The 18,860-nt window shown below is 41.0% G+C and overlaps 1 annotated feature.

Annotated features, from left to right (window-relative positions):
- Nucleotides 18,503-18,642: an enhancer, noted in NCBI's record as "active region_6236". NCBI's record gives its function as "activates an Ori minimal core promoter by ATAC-STARR-seq in GM12878 lymphoblastoid cells {active_cell/tissue: GM12878}" and the evidence as "EXISTENCE:reporter gene assay evidence [ECO:0000049][PMID:35858748]".

The raw sequence follows: 18,860 nt of genomic DNA on the forward strand, positions 1-18,860 counted from the left end.
CCTATCTTGGCTTTGGGTTAAGACGGGACAAATGAAGCCAATGACTGACTGAAAGCAGGCAATAGTAACCATCAAAACTCCAAATAATAGAAGGCAATTGCAAGGATTCCTAGGAATGGCTGGCTTCTGTCAAATTTGGATTTCTAATTTGGGGCTAATGGCTAAACCATTTTATGAAGCTTTAAAAAGATTGAACTCAGAGCCCCTGCCCTGGACAGATGAATGTCAACAGACATTTTATGCCAACAAAGAAAAACTGCTATCAGCCCTAGTGTTGGGATTGATGGACCCCTAGAAGTTCAAACTCTATGTCCATGAGAAACAAGGCACAGTCTGGCTGATCCAAAGGCTAGGAGATATTCCACAACCCATAGCCTATTTCTCTGGCAATTGGACCATGGAGCAAGACAAAAAGCACATGCAGGACTGGGAGTTTGATAAAAACAGACCCAGGAAAACTGATGCTTATGGAACAATTCTACTCCCTAAGGCCATGGTTTATTTAATTTTAAGACATCTACATGAGGAGACATATTATAGGAGAGATGCTCTTGCTTACCTAGTGTGGCCCTACTCTGAAGCCCACACACTTCCAGAAAATGATTCATAAAATAACACAAGGATGTGTTTTATGTGCTGAGAATATTTCCAAGACTGAATGAAGTCCCCCCAACAGAGGATACAATACAAATGGATATGCTCTTTTGAGGAATGGCAGGTAGACTTCATTCAAATGCCCATGGCCAGTGGAAATTGCAGATTTCTTTTGGTATTTGTAGACACATTTTTTTGGATGTGTCGAGGCATACCCCACAAAATCTCAAGGGCTACAGATGTAGCCAAAGCATTGTTGAAGGAAATAATCCCGATTTGGACTCCCATGCACTATACAGAGCTACAAGTTCTTCCATTATTTCAGAAGTTACCCAGAAGATAAGTCAAGCATTATAGATTAAATGGAAATTGCATTCATCATGGAGACCACAATAGATGGGAAAAACAGAGAAGATGAACCACACCTTAAAGAAGACAATAGCCAAACTCTGCCAGAAGACTGATCCAAGCTGGGATGAAGTTTTGCCTATTGCTTTGCTCTGATCAGGGTAGCACCCCAAAGCGGGCTTGGATGAAATCCTTTTGAAATTATATATGGGAAACTCTTCTAGATCTCCTTGCCAGGGATTCTGCCTTTGGATTTCTTAAGTGAGTCTAGAATTAGGCAACACATGCAGCAATAGTGACAAACATTACTGACTATGCATCAGCTTCCTCTCTCCACGTCTGCCTACCCTACAGATGAGCCCCTTCCAGGAGACAAGGTGCCACTAAAGTCGTGAAAAAAATGTCTGGATCAAAAACTGGCTGAAAAGTGGACTGGACCCCATGATGCGCTGCTGACCACTCATTGATCAGTCAAGCTGTCATCCAGTCATCAGTCTGGAGTAAGACTATGGGTCCATAAATCTCAAACAAAGGCAGCCCCACCCTGGCCTGACCACGCAGAGGAGCCTGCTTGGACATGTAAACCAAAAGAGGAGTTAAAACTACTACTTAAGAAAAACTCTGTAGAGAAGTAACATTTTTTGGGTAATTTCCTATAGAATGAAAACCTTGTTAGTGCCTTCAATTTTAAATTTATTATTACTGTCTACTGCTGCCACCACTAACCTTTTCCTGCAATGGGCACAACAGTATGCAGATGGTTGACAGCAGGACTCCTGCTGAATCTGTGGCCTATTGCCTTTCTCTAGCAGCCTGGGCCTGTCTTGGTAAGTATCACCTATACAGAGAAGTGACTGGCCACACTTGCAAGCCTTCATAGAAGACCTTAAGGAGTAGGTTAGGGGCACAGATGTCAGGTGTTACCAGAAAAGACATAACCCATGGCCCATAATAAGACTCTCAATGAATCTGGACATGGAAAGCCTTTTTCATGGAAATGTAATATAGGAAAGGGGAATAGCATTGCTCACCCTTCTACTGGACAAAGAAATGATAATCTAAGACATAAAGCCCCAGTACTCTCACTCTAAGAATGAGTTTCTTCAAATCTAGAATGGCTTTTTATGGCTGACAGCATCAATGGTACACTTAAGTCCCCTTTTTCTGGGGGCAGTGGAATCATACCCTAGACTGGAGTCAAATAGTGCTGGAGGCATGGGTTGGATTCCCTCAGAACAATGTCAACCTACCATAGTTGTATAGAAAAGGGACTTGTTTGCAATAAATTGGTCCCAATGACCCAGCCTTAACTGATATGTTCCTAATGGAACTCATTGGTTATGTGCTACAAACCTCTTGTGCTGGCTACCATGATGATGGCTAGGATGCTGTACTCTGGGCCTCTCCTGGGCTCAGGGACACTGGGAAAAGACTGTAGAAAAGCCTGCCAACCCATGGGCAAAGATTTCATGATGAAAATGTTAAAAGCAATTGCAACAAAAGCAAAAATTGACAAATGGGATCTAATTAAACTAAAGAGCTCTGCACAGCAAAAGAAACTATCATCAGAGTGAATAGACAACCTACAAATGAATGGGAGAAAATTTTTGCTATCTATCTGACAAATGTCTAATAGTCAGCATCTACAAGGAGCTTAAACAAATTTACAAGAAAAAAAAACAACGCCATCAAAAAGCGGGCAAAGGATATGAACAGACACTTCTCAAAAGAAGACATTCATGTGGCCAAAGAAACATGAAAAAAAGCTCAACATCACTGATCAGTAGAGAAATGCAAATCAAAACCACAATGAGATACCATCTCATGCCAGTCAGAATGGAGATTATTAAAAAGTCAAGAAACAACAGATACCAGCAAAGCTGTGGAGAGATAGGAATGCTTTTACACTGTTGGTGAGAATGTAAATTAATTAGTTCAACCATTGTGGAAGGCAGTGTGGCAATTCCTCAAAGACCTAGAACCAGAAATACCATTTGATCCAGCAATCCCATTACCAGAGGAATATATACCCAGAGGAATATAAAACATTCTATTATAAATATACATGCAGGTGTATGTTCATTGTAGCACTATTCACAATAGCAAAGACATGGAATCAACCCAAATGCCCATCAATGATAGACTGGATAAAGAAAATGTGGTACATATACACCATGGAATACTATACAGCCATAAAAAGGAATGAGATCATGTCCTTTACAGGGCCATGGATGGAGCTGGAAGCCAATATCCTCAACAAACTAATTCAGGAACAGAAAACCAAACACTGCATGTTCTCACTTATAAGTGGGAGCTGAACAATGAGAACACATGGACACAGCAGGGGGAACAACACATACTGGGGCCTGTTGGGGGGTCAGGGGGTGGGAGAGCATCAGGATAAATAGCTAATGCCTATGGAGCTTAATACCTAGGTGATGGGTTGATAGGTGCAGAAAACCACTATGACACATATTTACCTATGTAACAAACCTGCATGTCCTGCACATGTATCCTGGAACTTAAAATAAAATAAAATAAAAACACACCTATAAATCAAAAACACAACAAAAAAGTGTCTAGGTAACAAGTAACATAATGAGTGAAACAGTACCTCAGATCTCAATATTAACGTTGAATGTAAATGGCCTAAATGCTCCATTTAAAAGATACAGAATGGTAGAGTGGATAAAAAAAAATCACAAACCAAATATCTGCCGTCTTCAAGAGACTCTCCTAACATGTAAGGATGCACATAAACTCAAGGTAAAGGGATGGGAAAGAATATTGCACACTAATGGAAACCAAAAGCAAGCAGGAGTAGCTATTCTTTTATCAGACAAAATGGACTTTAAAGTAACAACAGTAAAAAAAGACAAAGAAGGACATTATATAATGATAAGAGGATTAGTCCAACAGGAAGATATTACAATCCTAAATATATATGCACCTAACATTGGAGCTCTTGAATTTATAAAACAATTACTACTACAGCTAAGAAATAAGATAGATAGCAACACAATAACAGTGGGGGATTTCAATACTCCAATGATGGCACTAGACAGGTCATGAAGACAGAAAGTCAACAAAGAAACAATGGACTTAAACTATACCCTAGAGAAAGGAACTTAACAGTTATTTACAGAGCATTCTACACAACAACTGCAGAATATACATTAGTTTCATCAGTACATGGAACATTCTCCAAGATAGACCACATGATAGGTCACAAAACAAGTCTCAATAAATTTAAGCAAACTGAAATTATATCAGGTAGCCTCTCAGACCACAGTGGGATAAAACTGGCAATTAACTCCAAAAGGAACCCTCAAAACTATGCAAATACATGGAAATTAAATAATCTGCTCTTGAATGATCTTTGGGTCAACAATGAAATCAAGATGAAAATTAAAAAATTATTTGAGCTGAATAATAGTGACACAACTTACCAAAACCTCTGAAATATAGAAAAAGTGGTGCTAAGAGGAAAGTTTATAGCATTAAATGTCTACGTCAAAAAGTCTGAGAGAGTGCAAATAGACAATCTAAGATCACACCTCAAGGAACTAGAGAAACAAAGAGAAACGAAACCCAAACCCAGCAGAAGAAAAGAAATAACACAGATCAGAGCAGAACTAAATGAAATTGAAAGAAACAAACAAAAAATTACAAAATACAAATAAAACAAAAAGCTTGTTCTTTGAAAAGATAAACAAAATTGACCATTAGCAAGACCATTAGTAAGATTAACCAAGAAAAGAAGAGAGAAGGTCTAAAGAAGCTCAGTTGGAAATGAAATAGGAGCTATTATAACATACCACAGAAATACAAAAGGTGATTCAAGGCTATTATGAACACCATTACATGCACAAACTAGAAAATCTAGAGGAGATGGATAAATTCCTGGAAATAAACAACCCTTTAGATTAAATAAGGAAGAAACAGAAACTCTGAACAGACCAATAGCAAGAGAGATTGAAACAGTAATTTAAAAAATTGCCAACAAAAAAAGTCCAGGACCAAATGCATTCACAGCTGAATTCCATCAGACATTCAAAGAAGAATTGATACCAATCTTACTGAAACTATTCCAAAACATAGAGAAAGAAGAAATTCTCCCTAAATTATTATATGAAGCCAATATCACCCTAATTCCAAAATCAGGAAAGGACATAAAAAAGGAAACTACAGACCAATATCCCCAATGAACATAGATGCAAAAATCCTCAACAAAAAGCTAGCTAACTAAATCCATCAGCACATCAAAAAGAGAGCACATCATGATCAAGTGGTTTCATCCTATGGAGGCAGAGATGATTTAATATATGCAAGTCAATACATATGATAAGTCAATAAATATGATAAATAAACAGAATTAAAAACAAAAACTGTATGGTCATCTCAATAGACATACAAAAAGTATTTGACAAAATTGAGCATCACTTTATGATTAAAACCCTCAGCAAAATTGGCATAGGAGGGACATACCTCAAGGTAATAAAAGCCATTTATCATCCTGGTTAACACGGTGAAACCCTGTTTCTGCTAAAAATACAAAAAATTAGCCAGGCATGGTGGCAGCTGCCTGTAGTCCCAGCTACTCGGGAGGCTGAGGCAGGAGAATGGAGTGAAACCCAGGAGGTGGAGCTTGCAGTGAGCCGAGATCAAGCCACTGCACTCCAGCCTGGGCGACAGAGCAAGACTCCGTCTCAAAAAAATAAAAAAATAAAAAATAAAAGCCATTTATGACAAACCCACAGCCAACACTATACTGAATGGGGAAAAGTTGAAAGCATTCCCCCTGAGAACTGGAACAAGACAAGGATGCCCACTTTCACCACTTCTATTCAACATAGAACTGGAAGTCCTAGCCAGAGCAATCAGACAAGAGAAAGTAATAAAGGGCATCCAAATTGTTAAAGAGGAAGTCAAACTGTTGCTGTTCACCAATGATATGATTTAGATCTTGGTAGGACTGTATACCTAGAAAACTAAAGATCCATCCAAAAAGCTCCTAGATCTGATAAATGAATTCAGTAACATTTCAGGATACAAACAGAAACACATCCCATACTCATGGATGGGTAGAATCAATATTGTGAACATGGCCATGCTGCCAAAAATAATCTACAGATTTCAATGCAATTCCCATCAAAGTACCATCACCATTCTTCACAGAACTAGAAAAAACAATTCTAAAATTCATATGAAACCAAAAAAGAACCTGCATAGCCAAAGAAATCTTAAGGAAGAGGAAAAAATCTGGATTTGTTCAAATTACCCAATCTCAAACTAAACTAGAAGGCTATAGTTACCAAAACAACATGGTTCTGGTATAAAAATAGGCACATAGACCAATGGAATAGAATAGAGCACCCCAAAATATAGCCAAATACTTACAGCTAACTGACCTTTGACAAAGCAAACAAAAGCATAAAGTAGGAAAAGGACACTCTATTCAACAAATGGTGTTGGGTTAATTGGCAAGCCACAGGTAGAAGAATGAAACTGGATCCTCATCTCTCACCTTATACAAAAACCAACTCAAGATGGATCAAAGACTTAAATCTAATACCTGACACCGTAAAAATTCTAGAAGGTACCATTAGAAAAACTCTTTTAGACATTGGCTTAGGCAAAAATTTCATGACCAAGAACTCAAAAGCAAATGCAACAAAACAAAAATTGATAAATAGGTCCTAATTAAATTAAACAGCTTCTGCACAACAACAATAAAAAATAATCAGCAATCAGTCAACCCACAAAATGGGAGAAAATATTTGAAAACTATGCATACAACAAAGGACTAATATCCAGAATTAACAATGAATTCAAATAAATCAGTAAGAAAAAAGCACATAATTGCTTCAAAAATTGACCAAAGTACATGAATATGCAATTCTCAAAAGAAGATATACAAATGGCCAACAAGCATATGAAAAATGCTCAGCATCACTAATTATCAGGGAAATGCAAATTAAAACCACAAGGAGATACCACCTTATTCTTGCAAGAATGACCATAATTAAAAAATAAAAAAATAACAGATGTTGGTGTGGATGTGGTGAAAAGGGAACACTTCTACACTGCTGGTGAAAATGTGAACTAGTAGAACCACAATGGAAAACACTATGGAGATTCCTTAAAGAACTAAAGTAGAACTACCATTAAATCCAGCAATCCCATGACTAGGTATCTACCCAGAGGAAAATAAGTCCTTATATGAAAAAAGACACTTGCACATGCAAGTTTATAGAAGCACAAATCTCAATTGCCAAAATATGGAACCAGCCTAAATCCCCATCTACCAATGAGTGGATAAAGAAAATGCGATATATATATATAACCATGAAATACTACTCAGCCATAAAAAGGAACAAAATAATAGCATTTGCAGCAACCTGGATGGAGTTGGAGACCATTATTCTAAGCAAAGTAACTCAGAAATGGAAAACCAAATATCCTATGTTCTCATTTATAAATGGGAGCTAAGCTATGAGGATGAAAAGGCATAAGAATGATATAATGGACTTTGGGGACTCGGGGAAGTGTGGGAGTGGGGTTAGGTATAAAAGACTACACATTGGGTACAGTGTACACTGCTTGGGTGACAGGTGCTCCAAGTCTCAGAAATTACCATTAAAACTTTTCATGTAACTAAAGGCCACCTCTTACCCCAAAACTATTGAAAACCTGAGTAGTGTATGTATACATCCTAGACAACTCAGGAAATCTCATTAGCCCTGCAAGATATGCATAAACAAATTAAAGCTATGTCTGATCCCACATTGTCACCAGATCAATGGTTTGTGCCCTGGTTTGGGTCAGAACCATCCTGGTGGGAAAAGTTACTTGTGACCTTGATCATAATTGCGGGAATAGGCATACTTCTTTGCTGCAGATTCTACTGCTGTTGTACATTCTGCATGGAAATGCAAGGTAAACTCTCCCAGAGACTTGCAAATCTCCAACAGTTTTCATCTGTCAGCCCAGGTATGTGAGAATATTTCCAGTTCCAGTAGATCAGTTCCATGACAATGTCCTTTAACTACATCCTCATTCAGCAGGAAGTAGGCAGAATGAACACATCGCCCATGTTCCACAGAAATGGAATGGAATTTGGCAGTGGGGAGTTGTAATGAGTACCCTATTTTTAAATATTTTTTTGTTCCTTTCTGTATTAGTTGGGGTTTTCTACAGGGACAGAATTGATAGGATATGTGTATATATAAAAGAAAGTTTATTAGGGAGAATTGACTCCCATGATTACAAGGCAAAGTCCCACAATAGGGTATCTGCAAGCTGGTGAAAGACAGAAACTGGCAGTGACTCAGTCCAACTCCAAAAGCTTCAGCACGAGGAAAACTGACAGCGCAGCCTTCAGTCTGAAGGCCTGGGAGCCCCACAAGTCTTTTGCTGCAAGTTCCAGAGTTCAAAGACTGAAGAACATGGAGTGTGAAGTCCGAGGGTGGGAGGAGAGGAAGCCAAGTGTCCAGCAGGAGAAGAGAGAGAGTGGAAAGACTCAGCAGCAAAGTAATTATCCCTCTTCATCTGCCTGCTTTGTTCCAGCTGCGCTGGCAGCCAATTGGATGGTGCCCACCCACACTGAGGGTGGGTCTTTCTCTTCCAGTCCACTGACTCATGTCAGTCTCCCTTGGCAACACCCTTACAGACACACCCATGAACAACACTTTACCAGCCATTTAGGCATCCCTAATCCAGTCAAGTTGACACCTAATATTAACCATCACACTTTTTCTTTTTCCTCCTTATTTACTTTATGTTTAATTTCTTACAAATGAAATATGACCTTTGCTCTCTTTCTTTCCACCAGGTACAATGTCCTCCTTATCTAATTATACACTTGCTTAGAAGTTCCAGGGACTGAATCTTAAAACAATCCAAGCACCTATAGAATTTTTCCCCACCAGGAGAATACCTCAAGGTTGCAGTTAATTTACAACCTGATTACGCCAGGATGCCCCAGCCCATTCACCAGAGGGGGCAATGACTCAGGACAAGTCATTGGTGCAAGTCACGTAGACCTGCAACTTCTTGCCCCTCCTGCATTCTCCCTCTACTAAGCTTTCCTTTTTAAGCCGTTGCATTCTGTCCAAAATTTGAAATGGTTTCTCTAAGGCATGAAGCTGTTATGGGAGGGGGACAGGGACGTGCTGGGTAGAGAAAAGCGGGTCCTGGGCTAGGGCTTCACCCTCAGGCCTGTGCCCACGGACCTAGGTGAGGACAGGCACTCCTGCCTTTGGCCCAAATGTTGCATTTTCCAAGACCACCCTGGCCTGCCATGCCCACATCCTGTGCCTATAAAAACCCCAAGACCCTAGCAGGAACACACAAGCGGCTGGACGTGGAGAGAAACACATCAGCGGAAGAACACACAAGCGGCTGGATGTCCAGAGGATGTCGAGAACACCAGCATGCCAGCAGGCCATTCTCCCGGTGGAACGTGGAGTTTAGCTGAGGGGGTTGGAAGACGCCTGGGCCGCTGAGTGGCCCAACTTCAGGGGAAAACCTTCCCACTCCATCCACTTCTGGCTTCCCCCATTTGCTGAGTGCTACCTCCATTCAATAAAACCTGCACTCATTCTCCAAGCCCAGGTGTGACCCGATTCTTCTGGTAGACCAAGGCAAGAACCCGAGATACAGAAAGCCCTCTGTCCCTGCGACAAGGTAGAGGGTCTAATTGAGCTGGTTAACACAAGCTGCCTATAGATGGCAAAAATAAAAGAGCACGAGGTAGCACAGGCCCACTGGGGCCTCAGGAGCTGTAAACATCCATCCCTAGATGCTACCGTGGGGTTGGAGCTCCACAGCCTGCCTGTCTGCATGCTTCCCTAGAGGTTTGAGCAGTGGGGCACTGAAGAAGCGAGCCACTCCCCCTGTCGCACACCCCGCGATGGGGGACAAGGGAACCTTTCCCGTTTGAGAGCCGGGGCCATTTCCCCACTGTTAGCTCTGGAATAAAGTGAGTTTTCTTCTACCACACCTTGTACTTGTTATCTGACTTTGCAAGTGGTGAGCGACTGAACCTGCATGGAGTTGCAATATTAGTGTTTTTTTTTTTTTTTTTTTTGAGACAGAGTGTCGCTTTGTCGCCTAGGCTGGAGTGCAGTGACGCGATCTCGGCTCACTGCAAGCTCCGCCTCCTGGGTTCACGCCATTCTCCTGCCTCAGCCTCCCGAGTAGCTGGGACTACAGGCGCCCACCCCCATGCCCAGCTAATTTTTTTGTATTTTTAGTAGAGACGGGGTTTCACTCTGTTAGCCAGGATGGTCTCGATCTTCTGACCTCGTGATCCACCCGCCTCGGCCTCCCAAAGTGCTAGGATTACAGGCGTGAACCACCGCGCCCGGCCACAATATTAGTGTTTTATTTGACCTCTCTCGTCCTCCTTTTTCAGTCAGTTTCTAAAGGCATTTGACTTCTCGGTCTCCATCTTTTTAATTTCACACCATAGCTGGAAAGCACTAAGTTGATATTTTAAAAATAATTCAAACATTCAATTTTAGGTCAAATATAGGGAATTTGGAAAATAGTAGACAGTTTATTATTAATAAGAACCACTACTAGTGCACTATCTTTAAAACAATGTAAACTAGCAAATTTGAGATGCAGAATAAAGCCCAGAACCTACATCTAATTCTGAAAGCACCAAGAACATAAAAATCCAACTTACTACTGAATGTCAAAGTAGAAAATAAAGTGCTATAATTTTCTTTACTTTCCTATTAAAGGAGAATTTATCTAAATTCAAAAAACATGGTTTAAGAAGCAGTCTATTTAAACCATGTCTAAATTCATCTACTGAGGGTATAGTGTGAATGTTTTATCAACAAGGACATGATGATTCTTTTGTCTTCTTATACTACAATTTAAATTTTATTCTTTAATTTTCTGAAATGTGTCAAATACCAATAGCCTGTGGCTGCTTATAAAATATTTATGTAAAAAATTATTCAATAAAAAAAATCCAAACAGCAGCTGAGCTCATACATAATTTAGCAAATGGAAAACTACTTCTATTCATGTGCAGAGGCCAGACGACAGAGATGATACTCCCCTGAACCCTGAAGGCAAATGTAGAGCAAGAGAATTCTGGCAGAGAAAGAGGGGAGGAAGAAGCCAATACCAAATACAAATGGCCCTATTCTCTTTTATATAATATTCACATTTGGAGCCAGAAATGGGGTGACTTAGCTCGTCATTATTTCCAAAAAATGGCACATGTCCCAGCTACTTGTCTCTTAAATCTCTTTCAAGTAAATAAATAGTGTTTTTAGTCTTTTGGAGTGGGATGGATTTCCTCTGACCATTGGCTGAGAAGCAATCAGTCTGGTGTATGTGGCTCCACCCTGAAGCTTTGAGTAGAATAGCTTGGTAGATTTTTAATGGCACCTGGACTTGGATTCTTTTAACTACTGACTCTAGGCTTGAAATTCAATTCTAATTTACCAGTATGACAGCATAATTTTTATGAAGCTGCAATTCAGTATGTTTGTGACTCTATCCCTCTATTCACATGCAGAAGTAATGAGCTCTAATGTATTGCTCTTGCCAGATACACTGATGGCTGTGTGCAGGCTGTCCAAAAATGCAATGTCTCCCGTCTAGTGTTTCTCTTCCCTTATATACAGAAGTGAAGGCCTTGAGCAGATTACTCTTTCAGATGTATATAGGCCCAGGGAAACCAGGAGGTATTGATTGTATCAATAATTAGATTACAGGCACACAATTATACTATGGCCTAGCTATTCTGTATTCCAACAGGGATTTTATTTTTAATGTTTTGTATCTAACTTTTTGAATTTTGATGATGTTATTAGTTGTATTTTTAGCAATAAAAATAAATGGAATCTTGTTATTACAAAGATGAATAACCATGGAAAATAACTTCTTAGTCTCTAATGGCCAGGTTTATAATTACTCATTTGCACATTTGATTGGTCATTGTAACATAAGAAATGGTAAATGAATAATATTGGCTATAAAAACCTCAGAAGTAGACGCTTACCTTCTTTTTTAAAGAAGTGTATGTCTAATAAAACTGAAACATTACAGTTAGCTTGTGACTGCCTCCTGTTTTTCCCTGTATCTTTTCTTTGTGATTTTTGCTTTCCAGGGATGCAAGGCTTGAAGATAGAGCAGTTACACCCTCTTGCTCAGAATTCAAGTGTCATAGGTTGAGAGCATATATTTGGCTTTCATAAATAGTTAATATCCTCTAGGGATTGTATTTTGTGTAGTATACAGGCTTTAATATGAGAAAGAGAGACCCTTTCTACTCTCCTTCCCTATCAATCAAGTCATATTTCCCTCTTTCTGCACTCCAAGAAGGGATGCCCCATCTCAAATGCTGGGTAGCTCTATTTGATTATACATACTATTTTTATGTAATATTGCTGGTGACTTTGTCCCCAAAAGAGTATAAGTAGGAATATTTGTTGTCTCCACAGAATCAGGTGTACACTTTCTCTCCTTGTTTGAGAGGCACTTTTTCTTTCTCTTTTAAGAGAGGCACTGTGGCACTCTAACCCCCTCGCCAAATTCTCCCCTGCCTCAAGCCCTTTGCACTTATCCTAGATATCCATCTGGACCACCCCCTGTACTTCCTTCAGGTTTCTTTTCTTTTCTTTTTTATTTATTTATTTATTTTTTTGAGACGGAGTCTTGCCCTGTTGCTCAGGCTGGAGTGCAGTGTCATGATCTCCGCTCACTGCAACCTCTGTCTGCAGGGTTCTAGCGATTCTCCTGCCTCAGCCTCCCAAGTAGCTGGGACTACAGGTGCTCACCACCATGCCCGGCTAATTTTCATATTTTTATTAGAGATGGGGTTTCTCTATGTTGGCTAGGCTGGTCTTGAACTCCTGGCCTCATGTAGTCAGTCCGCTTCAGCCTCCCAAAGTGCTGAGATTACAGGCATGAGCCATTGCGCCCAGCCTCAGGTTTCTTTTCAAAGTTTTCCTTATTAGAGAGACCTTTGACCAAAATAGCAACTCGCCCTAAACCCAATATTTTTTATTCTGCTTATCCTTTTTAAATGCTTTTTCATGTAATTACCTGACATATTATTTCAAAGTTGCTTATTTCTTGTCTTCTCCCACCAGAATGTAAGCTCTTTGAGGACAAGAAGTTTGCCTGTAGTGCTGTATCTATCCATCATCTAACATAAAGTCTGGCACACAGCTGAAGCTCAGTATTTGTTAAACGAATAAGTGAATTAATGAATCAATGATTGCATCATATATCTGTTGAACATTTGATATGTGTCAGAGACTAAAGTGGATTCTGAGGACATGACTATAATACAAGAAACTTGTGCTCTGCCTTCAAGATGTTTATGGTCTGGTAGGCAAGAACGATGATGCCAGCTGCACCTCTTGTGAGTGCAGGGTAGGTTTATTCTCATTAACTTTATTCATTTATTTATTATTTTATGAGACAAGGTATTCCTCTGTCTCCCAGGCTGGAGTACAGTAGTACAATCATAGCTCACTGCAGCCTCCAACTCCTGGGTTGAAGAGATTCTCCCACCTCAGCCACCCAAGTAGCTAGGACTAAAGCCACACACTGCCACACCCAGCTAATATTTTAATTGTTTTGTAAAGATGGGTCTGACTATGTTGTCCAGGCTGGTCTGAAACTCCTGGCCTCAAGTGATCCTTCCACCAGGGTCTCCCAAAGTGTTGGGATTACAGATGTGAGCCACCACACCTGACCCCTACTAACTTTAACTTTAAATTATTTATTTAAGAATGTTGAATATTGGCCCCCAATATCCTCTGGCTTGTAGAGTTTCTGCTGAGAGTTCTGCTGTTAGTCTCACGGGCTTCCCTTGAGATAAAAGCTGGAGAAAGAGAGAAGCCAGTAGTGTGGCTCAGTCCAAGTCTGAAAGCCTCAAAACCAGGGGAGCCAACAGTGTAGCCTTCTCTCTGAGGCTAAAGGCCCGAGAACCAGGGGGAGGGGCTTCTGATGGGTGTCTCAGAGTCCAAAGGCCAAACAACTTGGAGGCTGATGTCCAAGGGCAGGAGAGGAAGCCAAGTGTCCAGCATGGCATGGGAAGAGAGAGAGTGGGAAGGTTCTCTCTCTTTCTTCCAGCTGAGCTGGCAGCCAATTGGATGGTGCCCACCCACGTTGAGGGTGGGTTTTCCTCTCCCAGTCCACTGACTCAAATGTCATTCTCCATTGGTAACACCCTCTCAGACACACCAGGAACAATGCTTCTTCAGCCATCTAGGCATCTCTCAATCCAGTAGAGTAGACACCTAATATTAACCATCACAGTTGACTTAATTTCTAATGTTATCATAATCACTACTCAACCCCTAGAAAAATATAAGAACTCCCTTTAGTCCACTGTGATTTTTATTTATTTTCATTCTATTTCCATATGCCCTAAGTTAGTCATCATTATTAATACTATTTTATATAGTCTATCATTATTTTGATTTGTTAGATGTTTAACAATTTATTTGTTCATAATTGCTTCTTGCCTTCCACTCCATCCTTTTGGATTCAACTTTCCACTTTCTAAAATATATCATTTAGTAATTGTTTTGCAAGGGTCTACAAACAGTAAACTCTTTAGTCATAGTTGTCTGAAAATTTCTTAATTTCTCAGTCAATTGTGGGTACTTTAGATATATAGAGAATTCAAGGTATACAGATTTTTTTTTCCTTTTTTCCTTTGGCACTTTTAAGATACTTTTTTGTTGTCTTCTTGCATTGCATTAGGGTGACCAACTTGTCTCAGTTTATGAAGACTTTCCTGATTTCAGCACTAAAAAGTCCGGAGACCTTGAAATCTTCTCAGTCTCAGGAAAACTAGAATTGTTGACCATCCCACCTTAAATGTTGCTGTTGATAAATCTGATAATTGTCTAATTTTTGTTTCTTGTAAATAATATGTATTTCTTTGTTGTTTTTACTTTTAATATTTTCTCTTTCATTTTAGCATTGCATTAAGTTGGTTGCCAGCATGCCGGGAACTGGGCAGAGGGAGGGGGCTAAAAGTGAGGGCATCTCCCTTTGCAGTATGTAAACTTTCTTTTAATTCTTCTGTTTTCAGCATGTGTCCTCAGTAGCGCCTGGCATCCACAAGTCCAGACTTGTCTGGTTTAACTTGCACTCTTCTGCCTGGTGAATTAGAAGTAGCCACTTGGCTACTTGGGTGTTAGAAGAGTATTTGGGGGATTTAATCTTACTTTTTAAAGATTTCCAACCAATTCTTCTTTGGTCTGCTGCTCTCCCTGTCTTTAGAGGTCCTGGTGCTCTTAATTACTTGACTTCCTGGGGTTCAGTAACTTGAATTACCTTGATTATTTTTCATTTCCTTTATTTTCCACCACTCTCTCTCTCACATCAACACCATAGGTTTGGATTTCTACTTTCTCCAGCTCAATAAATCAACTATCATTTATTGATCCTAGTTCTAGCTTCCAAAATTTTGTTGGCATTTATTGTCTTCTCTTCCATTGTCATGACCTTACATATTTAAGCCTTTAAAAAATTTTTCTTTACTTTCATTTTGGTCGGGTTTCAGAAGTAGAATAAGCGCTTGTGTTAAATCTGTCATGTTTTACCAAAATCTCAAGGACTATATATTTTTTTCTTTCTATAAGTTCCATTTAGATTTTGTAAAATCTCCACTTTTTTCTCTTAGGGTCTTATTTTCTTGGTATTTTCATAGGATATGTTTTGAATACTTTTAAATGTACTGATTTTATCATCTTTTTCTGGTTGCTCTTTCATCTCAAGTCATTGGGGGTGTAGCTGACCTTCTTTTTGTCTGTCTTTTGACATTCACTAATGATGGGTTGTGTGGGGCTTGGCTGCTTTTTGGTAATCCCATGTTATATATGTTATAGGAGTGTCCTTCGATAGTAGCTTTGTGTCCTGCACACATGGGAAGGACCTGCATGGACTAATTTCTAATGTTAATTTTTTGGCATGGGAATTCCTAGACTACGAGGGTTATATGATTCCAGTCCTTAGCTTGTGCGAGGTATAGAACCAGGGTTTTGATTTCTTAGTGACATATATGTTTTTTCACTGAGCGAAAGTCTTTCTGGCCTTCTCCCTGCTTCACTGAGGGGTGTCCCTTTGAGATTCTTGGTTTTACAGAGAGATTTTCAGTTTCAACTTTACCTCACATAGGCCTGAAGGAATTACCATCTACCTCTCCTTAGGAAGTGAAACTCAAGAGGATTATGGAGACTAATAAACATGCCTTGGACTATCACAGCATCTGCTCACATAATTACCACCCTAGTTTTCAGTTCCTGCTTTATTTCTGCACCTGGAGTTTACCCCCTTACTCCCACCAAGCTCAGACACACACTTTCATGGTTTTGCATTTTAAATGTCTGTGGAAGGAGGTCTCTATGTTTTCATGGCCTACTATCTTTCCACAATCCTGTTTCTTTGTTTTCTTCCAAAATACTGGTAGGTGGATGTAAAAAAATGCAAAGGCAGACAAAGAGCATGAGCAGCCACTCTAAATTGTCATAACTGAAACAAAAGAAGATGCCAGTTAGGTCCAAGATGGCAGCTTGGAAACATTGTTAGCATGCCTCTCTCACTTGGAAAGACAAAATAGTATGTAGACATTCATGCTGTGAACTTTTTTCCAGGAAGCAACACAGAAACTTAACAGGAAAACTGAAAGAAACCCCAGAACCTTTGAAAGAAGTGATGGGCTGCAACCTGCACTGTGAACCAGGCAGAAAATTGTTTAAGTCCCTAGAGTGGGAGAAGGGGATAAACTGCCTCTGGGATATATACTCCCACAGGGGAGCCAGGCAATCCAGGCCATGGGGGAAAGGCCTTAACCCTACTCAATGCTGCAGCTGACTTAGTGAGTGGTAGGGAGAAGATGAGGAGCGGCATCAGGACATGCTTTGCGTGCACTCTTAGACTCCAGTAGGGATGGAGGGAAGCCATTCCTGATCCTACTTCTCAGGGGACCTTGTGGAAGTCCGCCAGCTAACTCAGGCAGTGGTTATAGGTTGAGAGAAGCTCCCAACTGAGATTTGTAATATAATCTCAAGCAGGGATAAACTACCGTGGCCAGAACTGAGGGGTGAATGGGAAGTGGGCTGTAGCCAGGGGCACAGGAGGTGGGTGCTCCTGTTTCACGAGCAGACTGGGAACTGCATGGCTTGAAAGCCACGGTTTCTGTCTCCATGGGGAAGGCTTATGGCCTGGGGCAGATTTGAGTTCTGAGCACAGACTGCCCGGAACCTAGCTAGCTGCTGCTAGTGGAACACTGTGGTGTGAGACTTGCCTTGCCAAGTGCATGCCTGTTACTCCCCACTCCCTGGGTGGACATTTCTGTGCAGCAGAGGCAGCTGTGCTCCTCCCTGGAACATTACTCCAGTGGCTAGGGAACTGCCCTCCTATCCCCACTGGGACTGCTGCTTGCCCCACATGACTGGAGCCAGTGTGGACTTGCCTGACCTAGCTCCTATCTGACTTTGCCCCTCCACCGCTCCTGGTAGCATAACACAAGCGACAGAAGTTTTGGGAGCTTTATGCCCTGCCCATTGCCTGAGACACCAGAATGCTTCCCCTGGGTGATATAAGGCAAGCACATATTCCACTCCTGCCACCAGAGCTGGTGCTCTTTGGCAAGTGCCACCTCTTGGCTGGAGGCCAACTGACACAGTCCATTACAGCATCTGCAGGCACAACAACATTGCACCTAAGAAGGAGGAAACTTGTGTACGATCATAGCTTATCACTATTGCCTGCATGAACCTTGCTAGCCAGGAGGTCCTGAGTCTGTCCATGTGACCAATTCATTACTACTACAACCATTATTTGAGGAAGCCAATGAACTAAGGCTATTTATAACCAAAGAATTTCAGAGTCTGCATCACTCCCCTGCCACCCCCATCAGAGCTGGTGCTAGTACCTGCTTCTGGGAGACTAGAGGACAGGTCACATCTCTGGATCCCTTGCAGAAATTCCCCAGTACCAGCCTGGAGTGTGGCAGTACCATTGGGTGGCTAGACCCAGAGGAACAGCAGGATTCACAGTAGTCTGGTCCTCAAGGACTCCTACTTCTAGGGGAAGGGGGAATGTAGTACATCAAGGGAGCACCCTGTGGGACATTATAATCCAGAGGGCAGGACTTGCTTTTCTGAACTTTCTGCTTGTGGGAAGATTTTTTCAACAGAGGCAAAGGTGCAGTGCTGGGCTCAGTGGGGAAAGTCTGTGGCTCTTCCCCAACAGTCAGGCAGCCTGGTGTTCATGAAAGGTCTTGGAAAAGGGTCTTCTTATTTCCCTCACCCACCACTGCAGAAACAGCTCACTGGGGCTTCTCCCATGGGATCTCAGCATGGGTGCACCTGTAGACAGCCTCTTTGAAACACTGCAGAGTGATTGCATCCCCATAGGAGGAGTGTCCTCCAAGTTCAGGCTTGTATAAAGGTTAGAGTCATAATCCTTCTCTACAAAGAACATCAGCATTCCTACAGATAAAAAGAGGCACTTGTCTGATCTGAATAGCCAAACATTGGGTCAAGGGTGTGACTGGGAGGCAGATTACTGGCTTGGTAGGGGAGCTGAGGTGGTTCTCTCCTTTCTGCCTGAAAATACCTCAGTCTGTTTCACTAAGAGCTCCCTGAGCTGCCTCTGTCAAGTCTGGAACCTCTGTCCACCACTGAATATGGCATTTACCCATCTGCTTTAACCACAGCTGATTTTTACCCATAAACACCTCCCCTAGTGGGCTGAAGCCTGAACTGTTCAACTCAGTAAATAAAATCCTGGCGGGTAGAGGGGGAGAATAAATAAATAAATGCACACCACTGGGGAATAAGATAAACTTCAAGAGAACTCTGCCCTTTCAACCACACAGGAAACAATGAACCTGCTCATACACTGAGCACATTGTCACT

The sequence above is a fragment of the Homo sapiens genome, chromosome 12 (assembly GCF_000001405.40).
Source record: "Homo sapiens chromosome 12, GRCh38.p14 Primary Assembly".
NCBI classification, from domain to species: Eukaryota; Metazoa; Chordata; class Mammalia; order Primates; family Hominidae; genus Homo; species Homo sapiens.